Genomic DNA, 23,248 nt, shown 5'->3' with positions numbered 1-23,248 from the left:
TTTGTTTTACACATTTATCTTTTAAGAATTTCTTAACTTACAGCAAATGTCCTTCCATTTATAGTATATTTGTGAATATTAATTTAGATGACACCTTCTGTATGAAATTTACTTAGAACAAATCTAAGGCATTTTCAGGAGTATTAAGAATTTTGGAAATTATTTGGCATTTTCAGTTAAAACACCATGGTGTTCTTTTCAAGCTAAAGAATATACCCTATTGGAATTAATTTAAAAAATCTCAAAGACTTTCTTGAATTAGTCATATTTACTGAGACCACAAAAATTCAAATAATAAATGTGTTTGATATTTGTAATAAATAAAAAATCTTTCAAAGATTCTTAAATTTACTTTTAAGCAATATGTTTCTGTGATGATTGGTTATGTAACTGATAAACGTCTTTTTCTGATGTTATGTGTTTTCATTGATACAGCCCTTCAGTTTAGATCATCTAGTTTTAATATAAGGACTGACTCTTCTACCTTGAAACTACCAACAGCCCCAGAGAAGTGCTTCTGTTGAATAGCTGACATTTATGTTTAACTTAGTGAGACTCCCAATGTGCTTATCCTGTCAATATATTTAGTATAAATAAGCAATACATCAGGAAAAGATAGGAGAAGTTGTTAATTTGTTAATAATACACTTGATAATATATCTTCTCCAAGACTAATCTTTGGTACTAAAATTCTCTCATGTCTGATGAATCCTAAGATGAATATTTTAATTTATACTCATGCACTTACTTTTAAGAGAATAATAGGTCTAGCTTTGATTTGTTTATTGTGAAGTTTATGGTTCATATAATTCATATTTCTGCTTTTGAGATGACTAGAAATGTTTTAAGCAATTAATTATATACAGTAAAATTGTTTTACTTATGTGAAAAGGCCTAATTCCTACTCTTAATGGCAATATTTCTAATACATAAGATATAGCTCTTCAAGGTTCTTATTTTTATTTCTTTTATTTTACTCATCATATTCCATCCTTTTTAAAGTTATTAGGTCCATTTTACATTGCCTAAAATATTAAACATTCTCAAGGAAATGACATTTGTTTTTATCTTAATTTTCACTGTAGCACTTAGAGCTATAGCACATATGGTAGGTACTTGATAAATACTGTGTGAATTGAGTGTGTCACACTTTAAAGATTTTTTTTTTTTCTGAGCAGCTAGCTTTAGTTTTTATTTAAGATGGAGACCAGAGATCAATAACTATTATTACCTTGCAATGGAACAAATTGATATCTATTTATTGATGGGACAAAGCCCACAGACATAATGTGTATCCATGAAATAAAAGGAAAATAGTTATTTAAGGCCAACCTGAAATTAATTAATTGATTTAAATGTAAAAATCTACTCCAGAGCCAAAAGAATCTAGGTTTATATTGTTCTAGATTAAAATATAGAAGCTAGGTCATATTGTTAAGTGCATATTAAACTGTAATTAATATTTAAAAATTGAAAATACATTTATTCTTAAGTCGTTCATTTACAAACAATATTTTTGATTTTATCATATGCTGTTGTAAGTACCAGGGACAGGGCATTAAGAAAAGAGACAACTTTCTTACCCTCACAGAATTTACCTTTTAGTTAGAATAAGAAATGGGATAACAGGATAACAAACAAATTAATAAGTAATTGTAATGTAGAGAAAATAGTGAAAATTGCTAAAAAGAAAAAATAAGCAGGATAACAGAGACTATAAGTGCTAAGTTTGGGAATATTGCTATTTTATATAGGGTTTGTGAGTGTTTTAAGGAGGGTATATAGTCAGAGAGGTCTTATTGCTAGAGTGTGAATTGAGCACAAATCTGAAAGGAGTGAAAAAGTGAGCCATCTGGCTATATGAAGAGAGAGCAGTAAACTCAAAGATCCTGTGGAAAGTGCAAGCCTGAAGTGTCCAATAAGCAAGGAGATCCACTATGGCTGTAGTGGAAATGAGGGAGATGGCCACTGATAGAAAATGTGGTCAGACACATAATTGGAGGTAAAACACTCCTCCGCAAATGTAAAAGAATGGAAATTTTGACAAACAGTCTCTCAGACCACAGTGCAATCAAATTAGAACTCACAATTAAGAAACTCAATCAAAACCACATAGCTACATGGAAATTGAACAACGTGCTTCTGAATGACTCTTGGGTAAATAATCAAATTAAGGCAGAAATCAAGAAGTTCTTTGAAACCAATGAGAACAAAGAGACAATGTACCAAAATCTCTGGGACACAGCTAAAACAATGTTAAGAGGGAAATTTATAGCACTAAATGCCCACATCAGAAAGCTGGAAAGACCTCAAATCAAAATGCTAACATCACAATGAAAAGAACTAGAGAAGCAAGAGCAAACAAATCCAAAATCTAGCAGAAGACAAGAAACAACTAAGAACAGAGTGGAACTGAAGGAGATAGAGACACAAAAATCCCTTCAAAAAATCAACGAATGCAGAAGCCGGTGTTTTTAAAAAAACAAACAAAAAAACAAATTAATAAAATAGATAGACCACTACTAGACTAATAGAAGAAAAGAGAGACAAATCAAATAGGCACAATAAAAAATGATAACGGGGATATCACCACTTATACCACAGAAATACAAACTACCAGCAGAGAATACTATAAACACTTCCATGCAAATAAAGTAGAAAATCTAGAAGAAATTGATACATTTCTGGACACATACACCCTCCCAAGACTAAACCAGGAAGAAGTCGAATCTCTGAATAGGCCAATAACAAGTTCTGAAATTGAGGTAATATTAGCTAGCCTACCAACCAAAAAAAAAAAAAAAAAACCCAGGACCAGATGGATACACAGCCAAATTCTACCAGAGGTACTAAGAGGAGTTGGTACGACTCATTCAGAAACTATTCCTAACAATTGAAAAGGGGGGATTCCTCCCTAACTCATTTTATCAGGCCAGCATCATCCTGATACTAAAACCTGGCAGAGACATAACAAAAAAAGAAAACTTTAGGCCAATATCCCTGATAAACATCAGTGTGAAAATCCTCAGTAAAATACTGGCAAACTGAATCCAGCAGCACATCAAAAAGCATATCCACCACAATCAAGTTGGCTTCATCCCTGGGATGCAAGCCTGGTTCAACACACACAAATCAATAACCGTAATCCATCACAGCAACAGAGCCAATGACAAAAACCATGTGATTATCTCAATAGATGCAGAAAAGGCCTTTGATAAAATTCAACATGGCTTCATGCTAAAAACTCTAAATAAACTGGCTTAATGGAAATAAATAAAGGGTATTCGCATAGGAAGAGAGGAAGGTAAATTGTCTCTGTTTACAGATAACATAATCCTATATTTAGAAAAACCCATCATCTCAGCGCAAAAACTCCTTAAGCTGATAAGCAACTTCAGCAAAGTCTCAGGATACAAAATCAAAGTGCAAAATTCACAAGCATTCCTATACACCAACAATAGACAAGCAGAGAGCCAAATCATTAATGAACTGCCATTCACAATTGCTTCAAAGAGAATAAAATACCAAGGAATACAGTTAACAAGGGACATGAAGAACCTCTTCAAGGAGAACTACAAACCACTGCTCAAGGAAATAAGAGAAGACAAAAATAAATGGAAAAAATATTACATCCTCATGGATAGGAAGAATCAACATCATCAAAATGGCCATACTTCCCAAAGTAATTTATAGATTCAATGTTATTCCCATCAAACTACCATTGACATTATTCACAGAATTAGAATAAACTACTTTAAAAGGCATGTGGAACCAAAAGAGAGGCCGCATAGCCAAGACAATCCTAAGCAAAAAGAACAAAGCTGGAGGCATCACACTACCTGACTTCAAACCATACTACAAGGCTGCAGTAACCAAAACAGCATGGTACTGGCACCAAAACAGACATATAGACCAATGGAACAGAATAAAGGTCTCAGAAATAACACCATACATTTTATCTTCCAAAAGCCTCACAAAAACAAGTAATGAGGAAAGGATTCCTTATGTAATAAATGATGCTGGGAAAACTTGCTAGTCATATGCAGAAAACTGAAACGGGACCCTTTCCTTATAATTCAAGGGGGATTAAAGACTTAAATGTAAAACTCAAAACCATTAAAACCTTAGAAGAAAACCTAGGCAATGCCATTCAGGACACAGGCATGGGCAAAGAATTTATGATGAAATCACCAAAAGCAATTGCAACAAAAGCAAAAATTGACAAATGGTAACTCATTAAACTAAAGAGCATCTGCACAGCAAAAGAAACTATCATCAGAGCAAACAGGCAACCTACAGAATGGGAGAAAATTTTTGCAATCTACCCATCTGACAAAGGCCTAATATCCAGGATTTCTGAGAAACATAAACAAATTTACAAGAAAAAAACAAACAACCCCATCAAATAGTAGACAAAAGATATGAACAGACACTTCTCGAAAGAAAACATTTAGGTGGCCAATAAACATATGGAAAAAAACTCAACATCACTGATCATTAGAGAAATGCAAATCAAAACCACAATGAGATACCATCTCACGCCAGTCAGAATGGCGATTATTAAAAGTCAAGAAAGAATAGATGCTGGCAAGCCTGTGGAGAAATAGGAACACTTTTACATTGTTGATGGGAATGTAAATTAGTTGAGCCATTGTGGAACACACTGCGGCAATTCCTCAAGGATCTAGAACCATTAATAACATTTGACCCAGCAATCCATTACTGGGTATATACTGAAAGGAATATAAATCATTCTGTTATAAAGATACATGCACACGTATGTTCATTGCAGCACTATTCACAATAACAAAGACATAGAACCAATCCAAATGCCATACATAAAGAAAATGTGGTACATATACACCATGGAATACTAGGCAGTCACAAAAAGGAATGAGATCATGTTCTTTTCAAGGACATAGATGAAGCTGGAAGCCATCCATCCTCAGCAAACTAACACAGGAACAGAAAACCAAACACCACATGTTCTCACTCATAAGTGGGAGCTGAACAATGAGAACACATGGGCACAGGGAGGGAAATAACACACACTGGGGCCTCTCAGCAGGGAGGGGGTGCGAGGGGTGGGGAAGCATCACGAGAAATACCTAATGCATGCGGAGCTTAAAACCTAGGTGATGGGTTGAAAGGTGCAGCAAACCACTACGGCACATGTGTACGTACATAACAAGCCTGCGCATTTTACACATGTATCCCATAACTTAAAGTAAAAAATAAATAAATAAGTGAATAAACAAATAAAAAAGAAAATGAGGTCAGAAGGGTAACTTTAAAACACTAAACAGTATTTACTGTTCCAAAGAATGTTATATTTTATAATAATAAATATCTTTTCTAAGTTGTGTTGTGGTATCTTTTATATATTAAACATGATGCTAAGTGTTTTATGAAAATACTATCATTTAATACTTCTAACCATCCTGTAAATGAACCTTAGAGAAGTCATTTAATTTGACAAGGTTATGGAACAGGAAAGTTCCTGAATTGAAACCATTTTATAGCTAATATTGTTTTTTCTTTTTTTTTAAAAAGTTTTTAAAACATTTTTGAAACATTTAAAGCAATTTAAAAATAGTTTTAAAATGTATTACTTTTCATTTATTTTATTTTCTTTATATGTTTATATTTCAATAGAATGATCTAATTCAGAACAATATTTAGTATGCTACTAATAGTTACCTTGTGTTTACTAGAGTGGTTCAATTATACTGCAATATAACACTCTAATATCCATTTCATTGAACTGCACCTATTTGTCAGCCAGAGATAAGTATCTAGCAACAGCATTTGTGCACTTATGACCTGTCCAAATTTTATGTCCTGTACAAGTGTTTGCATGCTATATAAATCCAGCTGCAAGTTGAATATCTGAACTTGCAGTGGAAAATAATGATCTGAACTCACTTTTTAAAAGTAATAATCCTTCTGCTATAGAGCAATATTCACTAGTTAGGTGTGCAAACAGAATGTAAGTTTAACTCTAAATTCACATTCTACCCAAGTGTAATTACTTTTGATCATATCAGTTTCAGAACTATTTTCCATCCAATGCATTTCCATTGCTCAAAAATATAATGTGAATAGAAAGGGGAATGTGTGTTAGTACTTACATAAAATTAGAACATAGAAGAAATGTGCCTATGAATGGATTTTACACAGTTTGGATAGATTGTTGATGAACCAGAAGGTTCTTTTGAATTTAATCACCAGTCATATGAAATTCAAAATTTTAGACAGCAGCAGTGACTTGCAATTTCTGATGCCAGTGTGACAAATGACCTAAATCAAAATTACTGGATTTTCATATTCATAATGCAATTTGAGTACTAATGCTTTTGACCACTAGGGAACTATTGATATAATTATGTTAACTTCCAATATGTTCCCCAATGTTCTCTCCATACCAGTGATTGCGTGAAAGAAAGTTAATATTTTACATTTAAAATGAAGCATAAAAATAGCATAGTTTGCTTCACAGAAGCTGTATTCTATTAAAAAAGACATTCACATAGCAAGTATAGAGAAAATCAACAGATTACAACTGAATTAATACCAAGGACTTTGTTTACATTTATTTACTTATTTATTATTTATTTATTTACTTTTTTTTTTTTTTTTTTTTTTGAGACGGAGTCTCGCTCTGTCGCCCAGGTTGGACTGCCCTGGCGTGATCTCGGTTCACTACAAGCTCCGCCTCCCGGGTTCAGGCCATTCTCCTGCCTCAGCCTCCTGAGTACCTGGGACTACAGGCGCCCACCACCACGCCCGGCTAATTTTTGTATTTTTAGTAGAGACGAGGTTTCACCGTGTTAGCCAGGATGGTCTTGATCTCCTGACCTCATGATCCACCCACCTCGGCCTCCCAAAGTGCTGGGATTACAAGAATGAGCCATCGTTCCAGGCCGGATTTTGTTTATATTTAAATTGCTTTTAGATCAAACTCACCATATTATAACATTTCTGTGAAAAATGCATTGGCTACACTCACGTGAAAATACTGCAATTTGTTTGCCTACCTTAACAATTGATCCTATGGCGTCTTGATCAATTTGATTTCGGTAATGAATATATATATGTGTGTGTATATATATGATATACATATATATATATATATATATATATATATATAGAGACAGAGAGAGAGAGAGAGAGAGAGATGATATAGATGATATAGACAGGGAAAACAAATTAATTGATATGCTCCTGTTCAGTAAAATCTCAGAATAAAACCTTGGCAATTATAAAGTGAATTCTATTTAACTAATAAATAATTAATAACGATGCCAGTACATACAGAACAAAAAAACATAAGCAATAAATAAAATGACCTTTTGTTTGACTTACAAACATAAAATAAATTCAAGTCTGAATGTTTCCATCAAGTTACAGGAAAGTGCGTATGCACATCTAAATGGAAACACATTTTTATTCCTTTTTTTTTTTTTTAACTCACCATTCTAGTCATGGTGAGTTTAAACTAACTTCCCTGAATTTATCTTGGTTTCACTCAAACGAGACATTTCAAATAATATCTAGCTATTGATATGAGAAAAACTTGTGACTTTAATTTCCCCTCCCCACCCCCCAAACTGGGAAGGAGCCGAGAGATCAAGACTGACTCAGACAAGTCTAGCTTGACCAGTAGATAAGTTTATTAGGATTTATGTATGGGACTCTTCTGGGGGACAGCAGGACAGATCTAGAGATCTGCACCATCTCCCATCTCAAAGCTGCTTTTAGGCTATTTTTCTGGCTCTTTGCCTACTGTATGTATGTGATAGCACTGTTTTCCATGGTAGGTTCTCAGATACTCTCTGGGATTTGTGGGTTCTCAGGGACACTTGCTCCTTGGCTAGGTACCATAGCCTTGGCTCACTGTCCAGCCTTCGGGGTTCAGGTAGCAGACATTCATCCTTACATAACCCTGGTGGGGTACCCATCACACTACAGCTACAACTCATGTAAAATAGCAAATACACTCCAAACACTATGTGGCACAGCAAGGAATTACATTAAATTCCTTTTCTTAAATATAGTGATTAAATATAGAAAGTCATTAGAGGAAATGTGGCAGAACAAATACAAGTGAGACATATAAATTAGGGATAATAAGGAGACTTTTGTTCAGCAAGCTCTAACTAGGATGAATAACAATAAGCTCATTAATCAAAACTATGCCAATGTCCCAAAGTTTAGAAATGCAGGACATTTTCGCATGGGCCACATGTCAAAGATAGTGATAAAACAAAAAGGCCGAGAAAAAAAAAAGTCACAAAGAAGACACAGTGAAATAAATTTGCATAATGTTACATTTCACCTTTTCTAAGGGGAAGAGGACATTTTATCAGTCTTAGCCTGGTCATTCTTTGTAATTAAAAGCAGTAACTATTAAATCTAAAATTTAGACGAAGAGTGTATATGTATGTATATTAAACTGTCTGTTAATGTTATACTAAACACACCTCCCAAGTTTTAAAATTAAAAACAAAAACAAAGAAACACACTTTATCACAGGTATTTTACATTGATCCAATGAGTTATGTCTTGTTATTGTAACTGTAAAATAGTGTGTGTAGTTTTCGCCACTAAAATAATTGAGTTGAGAGTAGGGTTTATAACCCCTGACACTCAAGCTGTGACTATCTAACCTTTCTACCAAGCCTGGAAGATTTAAGGATGGTTAGGTTCCCACAGTAGATTCAACCTAAAATGGAATTTATTATCCCAAATACAATCTCTTGTGCACATCGAGGAATCTATTTTCTATCTCTTCTAACATCTGTAATATTATTCCATCTTTTTGGCAGAATTCATTTTTGCTTTTCTAAGTGTGCTCAGATAATCTTGTCGAAATGGAAAGTCCATGGGAAATTAGTTTTTTTCTTGCTTGGACTTAAAACATTGGCCTAAATTCTGCAGTTTCCTTCCTCAGTAGAGCTAACTGATTAGTTTTCTTTGCTTTGATTGTTCTTTTTCTCCACTGCAGTTATCATTTCATTGAAGACAGTTGTATGCTTAAAGGTCAAATGCTCTAATTTATGTGAAGGGTGGTAAATGCCTTAAAACTGGGCTCAAAACTCATCATTAATCTATACTTGCTACTTCTATAGCAGATCTTTTATCTGCCAAATCACATTTCATATTTTAAATTGCATTTTCATTCCAAGGCAGTATTTAATTATGGAGTATTTTAATCAAATACTCTAGGTAAAGGGAAAAGAGGTAATTACCTCTCTCAGGTTTCACAACAGCTCTACCTTACTGAAAATTTGGGAAGAATGTATATTTTGTTATATATTGTATGAAACATATATTGATATATTGATATTGTATTAACTTTAATTGGTACAATATCATCGCATATATTGTATTACTTTTGTATTAATTGTATTAATTTTAACAAATTCTGACTTATAAAATGACTTAAATTTAATACACTATTTAGATTAAAATATTTTTAGGGCATGAACTAATAAAAAATATCTAATAATTTCTCTGTCACTTTACATTCATGAAGTCATTCCTACTTCCCATAAATCAGTGTGTTCAACAAAGATAACAAAATATTAAGAGTTTTTAAATGCTAATAATATAAAATAAACAAAAGCAATGATCTGAATTGTATCCTCTAATATATAAAGAAATTGTAGAAAATAATTTTAAAAATTCATATTCGTCCTGCAAAATTCAACTAAGGGATCACAAATTTGAAGGATGGTTCATTAACACACTGTCTTAGTCTGTACTGCTATAACAAAACATCTGAGACCAGGTAATTAATAAAAAACATAAATTTATTTTCTCATGGCTCTGGAAGCTAGGAAGTCCAAGATTAAGGCACTGGTAGGTTCAGTTGTCTTATAAGAAAGGGCTACTCTCTGCTCCCAAGTTGGCACCTTCTTGCTTTATCTGTTCAGGGGAGGAAAGTTTTATCCTCCCATTGTGGAAGGCAGAAGAGCAAGCTAGCAGAAAGCTATGAAAACTTTCTTTTATAAGGGCTTTAATCTTGTTAACTAGGGAGGAGCCACTGTGTCCTAATAATCTTTTAAAGCCCCTCCCTTCTTAATACCATTACATTGGCTATTAAGTTTCAACACCTGAATTTTGGAGGAGAGCACATTCAACCACAGCACACGTATATAATAAAATTAGGTTTATTATTTTCATGTATGAGCAGAAATGCATTGTTCCTTATAAATTAATAAATGAAAAATGAACGAGGTGTCATAACATTCTGAGTTTATGCTACACATTTTTAATAGAATATACATTAAACAGTATTCTAAATAACCAAAAAAAGAATAATATAGTAGATCAGATTATATTTTGGAACAATTTGATTATGAACTTGTGTAGCTCTGTTGCATTCCTTTTATATTTTAGACATAGCACAACAATTTATACTGTAGGTTTGCATATCTGCTAAAGAGGGATAAAGTCAAGTTTTAAAAGAATAATTTATTTTTCTTAATGCCATCTCTCTTTAGATACATGTAGGGCAGTGTATCTATGGAGCTGCCAAGTTCAATTCATTTAATAATGACTTCAGTATCTTTTTCTGATGGCCTAAATTTGATAAAACATCAGCTGAATTGTACTGGATGTGTAGATCAGATTCATTTCCAGAATGTTCCATTTCTGTCAACAAATAATCTAAAAACTCAACATTTTCTACATCACTTTCTACTTTGGATGAGCAAATTTCACAACGTGAGACAATGTCAGCTATCTGTTACATTGACAGCAAAGGTTCATAGATTTAATTTGCAAAAGTTATTTCAAAAAAGGGATTCAGCAAAAGGTAACTTCATTCCTCAAACATTATATAAAATATTGGGCAAGAAGAATTCTATTTTTGCATCAACAAAGTTGATATGATTGTGGATGAAACAAATAAGTTATAAAAAAATCTACCTTTCTGTTTAACCTACAAATATAGCAAAAAATGTTAAATCTCATCTCTTTGAATTATTATAACCAGTATTGAGATGGGTAGTTATCTGAAGTCCATAAAGGCCATTTGTAAGTGTATTTGCTTTAACGTAGAAAAACAAATAATTTCTACTTAATAGGAAGATGTCAAAAATATGATTTTTAATTTATCAGTATATCTCTCTGATTTTCTACTTCCACTCTACTTTTCTAAGGTTATTTTAGAATCTAAAAGTGGAGAATAAGCATGCATAGAACATTACGGAAAAACTTCTTAAGATGTTTTCACTGAAAGCTCGTTTTCCAACACTGATTTTGTTCACCTCTACCTTATCTTCCTCTAGAATTTTGTACTTAGTCTATTATCTTGAAAACATTTAAATGTCATCAGGAATTTAAGCTATGACTGCTTTTAATATTGTAATATTTATTCCTATTTATTTTTATGCTAACAATAATTGCTTTCTTTGACATGTTTATTCTCATCAGTAGCATTATCAATTTTACAAAAAGTTTATTTTAAACCATTTTAAGAGACTTTGTGTGTATCTATTTGTGTGTGTGTGTGTGTGTGTGTGTGTGTGAGTGTGTACAAGAACACTTAAGGGGAAATAACATAAGACCAGATTCAAATGATACTGCTAAATACTCAGGTAACTATATGTAAGCTCGCAGTAGTCAAGAGACTCACTCACACTCATAGAGAATATAATACAAAATAAAATTACTTTGAATCATACATATCCAATTTTTCTTCCAAAAATATCCAGAGTATGCATATATGGATCTCAGTTCAGTTATCGCTTTAAAATAAATTGAAAATATTTTAAAAATGAATAAAAAGAGAGATTTTGATTTCTAGCAGAAGTGTTACCTGGAACCCTGGCCTAATCTCCCAGTGAAAGGGTAGATATTAGTTAACTAACACAAAGATATATACTATGCAAAAACTGAATGAAAGTTGAACACAGATAACTTTTTGAGCTGAATCAAATAAAATTTCAGTTTTCATAAACTCGAAGTTTGTGGAGAAGCGGAGGCCAGGATTCATCCAAAATAAGCAGTCTAATAGGTGAGAGCACCTCTCCCTGGCCCATTCACAAAGCTGGGAAGACCAGGGTGACGCACTTAGTGTAAGTATATAAAAAAAGAAATAAACATAAAACTTAAACTTAGAAGACACCAAATAAAATATTCTGACCAAAAACGTGAAGTTAAGTAGAGCTTTAAAAAAAAATGTACAAGTTCACCTTTAATATGGATTTGCCTCCTGAATTTTCAGTGTATTAGTATCACCAAGATTCTGGAAATAACAAATGCAAATTCTCTCTGGAGAAATTAATCTCCAAACTAGACCTCAAAATTTTGTCAAATCAAGTTCCTAAATATAGAAGGTAAAAGTAAAAATTGTAAACATCAAAAAAGACACTGTGAATAAGAACAAGCAGAAACAACATAGAGCATAGTTAGGCTCTCAAAGACTAGAAATTCTATAACCATCGGTGACAAAATATTAAATATATTAAATATGTTCTTAATATGTTGAAAGGAAAACACACAAGAGAAAAATATTAAAAATGGCCACCTGTTTAAAAAAATAATAAAACAAGATGTTTATGTGTGAATATTTTAAAATAAAAAATTCTAATACAGATTTGGAACTAATTGAAAAGGAATTTGTGAAATTACAGATATATCTGAAGAAAGGCTAAAATCCTAGTGAAATTCACAAAGTGATAAGTAAGAATGAATCCATACCTAGAATATCAGATACAAACTGCTGATTGAAAAAGAAAAAGAGGAAATGTAAAAAGCAGATAGAAGTGGGGTTAGGAGAGGAGAACAAAATATCTTCAAAAATACGTCATATTTGCTATCTATTTTCTCATCATTGTCAATCTGACAATAGTGGGACAATGTGCTTCTAAATTTGCTGAGAGAGTATGACTTTCAACCTAGAATTTAATTATCTTATAATAAAGTTAAAATAAATTTAATTTCAGAAAAACAGATTTTCCCATTGACAGCTCCCTTTAAAGAACATTTTGAAAGTTATATTTCTAGAGGGAGGAAACTAAAAAAAGATAGAAAATTTGGGAAAAAAAAGAAGGGAAAAGAAATAAATGCATAGTTAACATAAACAAAGATTAACAGTCAAAACAAAATTGCTACCTTGAAGTTATAAAATGAACTAAAGTTCACAAGAGCAGAATTCTATATGTTACACTGTTTGCAGGCTCCTTGTATTTTCTATAATCAGGGGCAAGTTTCAAGGTTTATTTGATTCAATGGCTCAATAATATCAACAAGCACCTGCCTTTATATTTATAGCCATAAGTATAGATACAGATATCATATGCGTATTGGCATAGGTATAGTTATACGTAACAGTAGGTGTTGGAGATTTGTTAGTTACATTTATTGTTTCCAATATAAATTTCCTTTAATTTTTTTTTCATTAAACCCCATTTTGCACTCCCATCCTCCTTTACATTCTATGTTATAGGTAGTCATTTTAATGTATGTATTTATTGTGAATTTTGGTGTTTTGTTTATACTTCAACAAAAAAAGAGTGCTGTTTTGTATGCATGCATTTTTAATTAAGATAAATTACGTGGTTAGACCCACATTATGTGGCAGAGTGTGGTTTCTATCCCTCACTCTGCCTTTCCAGTCACGGCTTCATTCCATGGCCATCTTTCTTTCTGGTGTCATAACTTCTGGCACATATTTTTGTATCCATCCTAATAGAGGGAGTATTTATCTTTTGGCCATTAATTTTGTTTTAAATTTAGCTTTATTTAATTGGGCCTACTTTGCCAAGCACCTAAACTTGAACCAACACCCTTGCGTGGGGAATGGAATTCCACTGATTGGCATAGGCCAAATGGGGTTTGGAAAATGGGTTGATTCCACCCAAATTGAGAGGGAACAATTGTTCTTCTAGGAAAATTTGAATGGATTTAAATGAGAGAAGGGGAGAATGAAAGCTAGATACCAACACACAAATGATACTTGGTTGGTTGTTTTTACATTAGTGCTACTCAAATATGTTCTGCAGACCAGTGGCAGCACACTGTTTATTATTAAACTGTGATAAGATATATAAATAAATTGAGACTAAACATTTCTAATCTTGTAGAGCAATGTGACACTGCTGAAACATGCAAGCCTGTGATCAGTGGGTTTGTTTTAATTAAAAGTACAGATGAGTTTTTGAAATTGTGTGGTGAGTCACTGGAAGTAAGAACGGCATACTAATCATTTCAGTTATAACCATGTTAAAGTATGTGATAGTTTAAGGTTAGTTTGTAAATTATGACTCATTAATTTCACTGAAGAAAAATTCAAGAATCACAACAGGCAGAATGGTTCACACCTGTAATCCCAGCACTTTGAGAGTCCAAGGCAGGACGACGGCTTGAGGCCAAGGGTTCAAAAGCAGCTGGGGCAACATAGTGAGAACTTCATCTCTCCAAAAAGTTTTTAAAATTAGCTGGGCATGGTGATCTGAGCCTATAGTCCTAGCTTTTCAGGAGGCTATGGTGGGAGGCTTGCCTGAGCCCAGGAATTTGAGTTTGCAGTGAGCTATAATGATGCCACTGCACTCCAGTCTGAGTGACAGAGCAAGACCCTCCCTCTAAATGAAAAACAAATAAATAAATGAATAACACTGACTTCTAATCAAAAATGTAATAAAATATTTAAAGTCATAATATTGCTTCCTTTGTTTTGAACAAAATAAAACATGATATCCTTACTTTGCTTGAATTCTTTAAAACATCTTCCATTCTCAACAGGGTAACTCTGTGAGATGGGTGTTTCTACTCTATGAGTTATTAGAACAAAACACAGAAAAATTTTCAATATGTATTATACCTTGTGAACAACATTGTTACTATGCATCCCTACAATAAACAAATCATCTATTAAAATAGATGAAAATTAATTTAAATAGATAAATTGAACAAAACAAAGCTGACTTGTTCCATAAAAATTTTAATATAAATTACATTTTTATTTAATTGATATTAAATTGTGTTTAATGTGAGCATATAGCCATATAGGCACAATGTATAATCCTTCTTTACCCCTAACAACAAAATGTTATCTGTGTAATAACAATTTTCTAAATTATACATCTATTTGCGTACTTTCAATAAACTATGCATATAATTTAACTTTTTTTACCCTGCAATTTTTTTCTGATTTATTGATTGCAATGTTATTTAAGGTTTATTAAATCTAATATTTAGAATAATATGGCCATAAATTTTATACATTTTATGGAAACACATAAGTTGACCTAATCAAAATAAAGTTTATATTTTTTCTTAATTTTTTCATGGGTAAGGAACAACTTCTCTTGTACTAATGTCACCACAAAAGACTCCAAATAGCCAAAGTAATCTTAAGCAAAAGAACAAAACTTGACAAAAAGAACATCACACTACTTGATATTAAAATCTACTATAAAACTCTAATAATCAAAGCAGCATGGAACTGGCATGAACACAGACATGTTGACCAATGGAAGAATCGACCTGTGTTCATTAACGGATGAATGGATAAAGAAAGTGTGGTGTATATAGACAATGGAATACTATTCAAACTTAAAAAAAAAGAATGAAATACTTTCGTCTGTGACAACACAGGAGACCTTGGAGTAAATTAGGTTAAGTGAAATAAACTAGGCACATATAGAAAAATACTGAATGATCTCACTTAGATGTGGAATCTAAAGTAGTCAAAATCATAGAAGCAGTGTAAAATGGTGGTTACCACAGGTCAGGTAGTGGAGGGATTTGGGAAAGTTGGTCAAAGGGTACAAAATTTCTCTCAGACAGAAGGACCCAGTTAAAGATATCTGTTGTACATCACAGTGACTATAGTTAGTCACAATATATTATATACTTGAAAACTGCTAAGACAGTAGATTTGAAGTGTTCTCATCACAAAATATAAGTATGTAAGGTTATGCATATGTTAAATAGTTTGATTTAGGCATTCAGAAATGTATACACATTCAAAACGTCACGTTGTACACCGTAAGTATATGCAAGTTTTACTTGTCAATTACAAAATTTTAAAAATGGACAACTTAAAAATGTATATTTTTTCATTGAATTTTCTTAATTATTAAATTTTATTGTATTTTACAAAATATTAGAGTGGACAAGCAAACAAAATAATGCTAAAACAAAAAATACTCTACCACAGATAGTTAAGAATCATTATTCCATGGGATTGAACTAAATCAATAGTTTTCAAACCATGCAGTGCCAAGTGTCTACTTAACTTCAAAAACAATTTTTATTAGTTTTACACATTGAATAAAGGGGCCAATAGACTGTGAAATACAGTTTGCAAATCCTCTGAATGTAATGTTCTCTCACCATTTGATCTAGGTTTCAGTTTAACAAGAAGGCTCCTTCGAATTACTTTCTTTAATTTGCTGCATTTTCTTTGGGACTTTAAGATATGTCTGGAGCTTAACTTGATTAAAAATGCAGCAAATTAAAGAAAATAATTCCAAATACAAAGTTAACATCCTCTTAAAACATTAGGAACAACTTGCACAGTAGTAGAATGAAAAAACCTAGAATAATACCATTAGCTAATGAACAAGAGGATGTCATGACTTGTATATAAGTCTCATAGCTTGCCTCATGGTTTGCAAGGTAAGCCCAGAGTGGGGGAAGTTTAGAGCTTGTGAGGAAAACAAAATGAGTATACATTACCCTAATTTTATATATGCATATATTTGAGGTAATAATACTGCTAGATATTTTTTCTTTAGTATTTTTCTATATATCAAAAGAGAAAAACTTTAAAACATGCTTATCAAATTAACATTAAATACATATATAATGCATTGCTACATTTTATGAATATACTGTTTTGATACCTAGCAACTGGCCTTTAGATTCATTGTTAATGTTTTCAATGTATTTGTTCATTGATGAAATTATTCATATTCAATTTCATAGGAGTCAATTATTATTAATTATCCTTAGATTTAATTAAACATACTAAAATAAAAGTAATCACACTTTTTTGTTTCACAGTGTTTTTTTTTTAAAACAGTCTTGATTATAAGATGAAAAATAAACTGTTAAAATAGAAAGTTAAAAGTTTGCCATTGCCCAGCTTACATTTAAGAAACACTGACTTCTCAAATGCTTCTCTTCTTCTTAAGCCATCTGATTTCATAATTTCATAAACATTAACTTTACAATAGTAGACAATATATACTGTTTAAAACTGAGTCTCCAAAATCATAGTTCTTAGATTCTGATTCTGATTCACATTTTGGAATTGTTGTAGTTTTAAAAGAATTTAGAAATTCCAAGAGATATAGAGAAATGTCATCTATTAATAGATTAAAACTTGGCTTACTTAAAACGCCTGCTTTTCTTTTGTTAGTACAGTATATTGTAGAAAAATCTATATTTATCCCCCATCCTATCATATATGATTGAACTCAAGATAAGATTTATGGATATATTTGGAGTTATAAAATTATTTCACTGTTTTATAGAGAACAATTTATATCTTATTAGTTTTATGTACAAAAGCCTGGAAAAATCAATTACATAGTGCCGGCAGACAAAACTAGAGAGTGATTATGTATTTATTCCAAAGTTGAGATATATATATACACACACAAACACACATATACAAAGACATATATATATACACATATATTTATATATACGTGTGTGTGTGTGTATAGATAGATAGAGAGCGAGAGAGAGACACAGAGAGAGAGAGAGAGATCACCCTAGTTTTCACTCTGTTAATAGGAAGTTGTTTAACCTTGGGCAAGTTTCTCAACCTGTCTAGACCTTAGTTTATGTATCTGTAAATTGACAGAGTTGAAATAGAGAAAGACCCTTTAGGCTCTAAATTCTATAATTTTATGAAATAGGTATTGAAGATTAATAGAGCAAGAATGGATTCAATGAAAACCTGCTGCTCTGAAGTTAGTCAAGTGAGTATATGTTTTACATGGGTGCCAGGAAACATATTCAATCAAAGCACACTTTGGCCTTCATGCAGAAGATGCTTTTGCTCTCAGTCACTCTCATACTAAAAAAGCCTGAGGTTAGAATTCAGACTAAATGTTCCTCAGCTTTAGTGTGAATTATTTTCTAAAGAAAGTGACTGTACCTGAAAAAATAAAAATAACTATCTACCAGTATATCTGCCAATTATTTGAAAACTTGAAACATTGTTCTGTGGGTTAGATTATTATTTTATTTTTGAGGAAACCTGTCCACCATTTAATGTCACTTAAAATTTCCTTCTTGTGAAGATGTATTCTTCTGGTGCCCATTAGATGTTATTATTATTATAAATTATAATGTTATTATAATTTCACATATCATGATACTTGAGATTTCTTACAATTATTTCTGCAGTTTTAAATGGAGGTTGATGATAGTGAATATATAGCAGCTGTTTGAGTTAGGGTTTTGTTTTAGTTTTTGATATGTACCTTTGTGCTAATAGATCAATAGAGAAGAAAAATAATGAAGCTCTCATCACTTTAAGAGGAAGAATGGTTATAAGCTCACTTCTAACGTATGTCTAGGCCATAGTGGGAGCTTAAAAAAACATTTTTGAAGCACTTATCTTTGGCTTTTCAAAAACCGCCTCATATCTCTCTGTAACTTTGTTTTATTCCTTTTTTAGCATGTTTTTCTTTCTTAATGTGTTTGATCTTCATTATGAGAACTGTCGAGATCATAAAACTAATTTTGCTTTCTTAACCTAAACCAAAGTTTTGTTCGTTTGTTTTCATATTAAATCTCATTAATGCTGATTTTGAGCATCAGGGAAATACTGTTAACTCCTGAATCACATGTTATTCTCAATTGAATTCAGAATATATGTAGATGCTGATTTTTATATGCAACCTGACACTATTTAGGAAAGATGTAATATGTCTTGCTGAAGTTCATCTACTCATTCAGTCATTTATTTATTCAATTGACAAATATCTCTTGTGCTTATTAAATATAAACCCACTTCTTCACATTTACCTTTATGCTTGTTTTAAACTTAAAGTGACTATTATGTAGCCTCAATGGTAATAGAAAAATAAAACCCAAAATAATCTTGTTTCATGAATCAGATGAAAACCAAAGATTAAAACCCATATCTATCTCTCATTCAGTTTAACATTTTACAAAATGTATTGGCACTTACTTTCTCTAATTCTCAATGAGTAATATTATTATTATTGATATATATTATTACTTCTGAGGTGACAATAAATATGTCTTTTATTGAATAGATTATAGACTGATCACAGCTGACCTTTTCTGGTCAACAAAGATCAACGTGGTAACAATGTTCATCCACCACAAAATTAGCAGTATATATGATTTAGCTAAAGTCTCAGAAACAATAGTGACAGGGACAATTGAAATTCACAGGTCTAATTTTAAATCTAATGCTTTCTGTACTACACCACAAGGAACCCCAAATGATCACTTCTGTTTCAAGTGTGCATAAAATATTATGAAATTTCACAGAAGACTTTCATGGGATTATATTGAAGAAAATCTCACACATCCAATAAATAGCATTTTCGATCTAACAAGGGGAATGAGATTTCTGTATAGAAAAATACAGTCTAGATTGAATTATAAGAGAAAATAAAGCAGGGAATCAGGAAACTGCAGGACAGGTATGGGAAATACTACATAATTCCATTTAAATGGAATGCTGAATGATATTCAGAAATAATAAAATACAGATTGAAAAAATTGACTAGGTCCTGAGTGTAAAGGGCCTTATATAACAATTTAAGGTTTCTTGTTTATTATTTTTTTCTAAATATGTAGTGTAATCATTAAAATCATTTATGACTAAAAGGGAATATTAAGTTAGAAGCAGTGTGTCTTAAAACTTTTTAGTAAGTGGTTTTAATATAAATTGGAATGGGAAAGGAAAGAGACTAGAGATGCTGATTAGTTTGGGTGGTCTTACAAAAGCACCTGAACTGTGCAATGGTAACAGAAATAAAAGAGCAGGAAGTGGCTGCATGTGAGTAATCAGTGAGATGAAGACAGAGACTCTGAGTCTTTAAGTTTTAGAGACTAGAAATATGATGGAGTCATAAGTGTAGGAAAAGATTTAGAAAGAAAGAAAGATTTAGTGTAGCATACATTGACTTTGAGATACTAGTGGATCATCCACACAAGCAGTGCCCAACAAGGGCCTGGGAAATATGCTAAGGTATTTAAATTCTTTTAAACTCTGTAAATTCTTCAAAGACATGACCTTTTGTTTTTGTATTCTAAACAACAATCACAGAGTCTCAAAATGATACATGCCTCGTATAAGTCTTCTATTGAACAGATTACAGACTGATCACAGCTGACCTTTTCTGGTCAACGAAGATCAATGTGGTAAAACTGTCCATCCACCACAAAATTAGCAGTAGAACTGCCTCTTTTGTGCGTTGTCTTATGCATATTTTTAAATTGACATCTGTAATTTTACTACAGTCACATATTTAAAATAGCTGTCTCTTTTTATTAAACTATGCACACTTTGAAGACAGGGGAAATTTCTTAGTCATTAATTTTCTTGCCCCTAAGTTTATGCTAAACACATACAATATGTTTAATAAACAATGTTTGGTGAATAAATTAATTAACAAATATCATATTAAAAAAAAAGACCTGATGTCTATAGTAAACTTAGCAGGGCTGTGGGGGCCAGTGTGCTTATAGCACATTTTAAATCAGTATTTGTAAAGTTTCATAATATTACATGCCTAAGCTCTCTACTATATTCATAAGAAGATAAAAATTGATTAGTCCTAACCTTTTTTCCCACTGTCTTATGTATGAGAAACAAGCATTTTTATGGACAATCTTAATGACAGAGATCTAATTCTCTTTTATGTGCCTTAGCTTTTAAAGTAGTATTATCAAACAAGATTTCTTAGTTGTAATTTTCTTTTTATAAATATTTTCTCTCCTGGATATGTGTGTAAGTGTGTGTGTAAGTGTATAATAGGCAGTCTCAACACTAAAAACATTATTTAATTTTGCTATCCAGTATAAACTTTTACTTTCACTTCACCTGACTGAAAATGGAAGTAAAACTACATTTAAAGTGTTAATGATCTCTGTCAATCTACTAAACATTCTTAGATCTCGCTGAGAAAAGCATTACTTTTGTCTTTTCTCTTGGCTTATCAGAACCTTTCTGAGTTCTTCACAGAAGCAGCAACAATGGAAAAAACTCCGTAACATATTAGCAGATATCTTCTCCAGATGGCAGTAACTCTATTAACAACAGGGAAGCAAACATAAGCACCCAGCTTGCATCCAATCCAGTACAAAGATACTCTAAGGGAATATCTAAGTTGGGTCATCAATTAAATTCACTCTGAGGGACTATTAAGGTATAATATATTGTCAGTTCAGCTAAATTACACTCCTAAACAAAATCGGCTTCATCCGTCTTCTGTCTGTACCTCCCCCTGTTGGCAATATCATGCTGTTTACCCAAAGCAGGTGGAATAATACCCGGGAGCAGCGGCAAATAACTCATCACCTGCAAGGTCAAGCCATCTTCATATTTCTATCCAGATGCTTGTGGGTTCCAAGTTCTTACACCATCTTTCACAATTGAAATACATTGGTAATAAATAAATTCTGGGAGAGTATTGCCTCATTTAGAAGCCAGGTGAATTCTCTATCAGCATCTCTTATATATTTCAGATCAGTCCTTCATATAAATCTTCGTGAAACATGTATGCAGTTCATCTTTCAGAGTGTTAATAGCTAGCTGTGGCTTAAAATATTATATTGTGAGTGTTTTATTCGGGAGCCACTGCAGTTGATTAATTCCCAAAAAATCTTTGTCGAATGTTAGCAGGGATGAATTTTAATGCTGTTGAATGAACTTCTCTTGTTTTTTCAACAAATATGCAAACTGAAACCAGGGTTAGGAACTTATGAGATGATGCTTGAAATGTTAGAGCTTTATGAAATACAAGATATTGACACTGATCCTTCTCCTCCTTGGTAATCTGCTAGATATCTAACTGTTTAAAGAAAATAAGAGCTCAGACTCTGAACATTACACACTGTTCACCATGCAAAGATAATGAAAAAGAAATTCCATTCTTTACTCACATCTATCAAAGAACATTAAAAACATCTAATTCATAATCACAGCAATACTGAAGAGCTGCATTTCTTTTTCCCCCAATTTTCTCATAAATCATGCCATAAAGAGCCTCTGGTTTGCCAACTACTCCAAAAAATCTCTCTATTCACAATCATATTCTTCAAAATTCTGTGGAAATTTTATCTCTTGCAAAAAAGGTCATTTTCATTCATCTTATTTAATTTACAAATTACTTACCTTAAATAAGGTTTATTCTAATGGGACAAGCGGTGTGAACAGGGCTTGAAGACGTAAGATTCTCTTTGTTGGAGAAAAACAGACATTTTTTAAGGATCAATATTAATACGTTTTCTGCTCACGCAAGTACATAAACTTTGGAGTATTTTTCCAGTTTAAGGACAATCACATTTAAATTCATTATTTTTGTCCTATGTTTAAAAACTGATGTGATCGAATATATCAAATGATAAAATCTGTGATTTTGAAAATTCTGTTTTCTTGAATCCACTTTAAAGTTCAATTTTTAATTAATAGATGAGTTGATGAATGAAAGAGAAATTTTAGAATGAGAGCGTATGATGTGGGGTTCTCCCAGAAAATATATAGCAACTACAAAATGCTTAAGTGGGAACCAAGATTTTCATATAGTACACAGTCATTAAACATTTATTGATTTGGCTTTTTGTCTTGATATCACTACCTAAATCAATATCTCTGTGAATCATAAATCCCTTATTTGTATACAGACAACTCTTATGCTACCAATTAAAAGGTTTGATGCTCCACTTTTGAAATATTAACAGAACTCTTCACTAAAGAACAAACACAATTCTCCACTTTTGTCAGGTTTTCAAGAGCTTTTAGGAAATAGCTATTCATATGCTATTACTCTCTCTTTCCTCTGCCTAGAAGAACATTAAATAATATAAAAGGAAAAATAGCTGTAGGCATTTTAATTACTGAAAAGATGGATATTTAAATAACTGGTAAAAAAAACACTATCTACTTAAAAAATGTATATGCACATATAATAGATGTCATCCCATCATGAATGTTTAGGCATTTAATGATCCAAATTCTTTCTACTTTACAAGACAGAATAAGTAATGTACATCTTCATACTCCATTAATTCA

General features: G+C 32.1%; 1 long non-coding RNA gene across 6 annotated transcripts in view; it reads right to left on the bottom strand.

The window, feature by feature from the left end:
• The window catches only part of LOC105370236 (uncharacterized), a 78,736-nt gene that overhangs the window by 14,754 nt on the left and 40,734 nt on the right, over positions 1-23,248 (bottom strand). For 3 of the 6 annotated variants that reach the window (XR_942018.2, XR_942022.2, XR_942023.2), the window contains exons 6-7: positions 22,352-22,414; positions 19,922-21,264 (exon numbers count right to left, since the gene is read on the bottom strand). This is a non-coding gene — a long non-coding RNA (uncharacterized LOC105370236). Of the gene's footprint in view, positions 1-19,921; positions 21,265-21,711; positions 22,029-22,351; positions 22,415-23,248 lie in introns of those variants that run through there. The other 3 variants (XR_942019.2, XR_942020.1, XR_942021.3) reach the window with 2 other exon arrangements.

The sequence above is a fragment of the Homo sapiens genome, chromosome 13 (genome assembly GCF_000001405.40).
Source record: "Homo sapiens chromosome 13, GRCh38.p14 Primary Assembly".
NCBI classification, from domain to species: Eukaryota; Metazoa; Chordata; class Mammalia; order Primates; family Hominidae; genus Homo; species Homo sapiens.
This window is presented reverse-complemented; position numbering and strand designations above follow the sequence as displayed.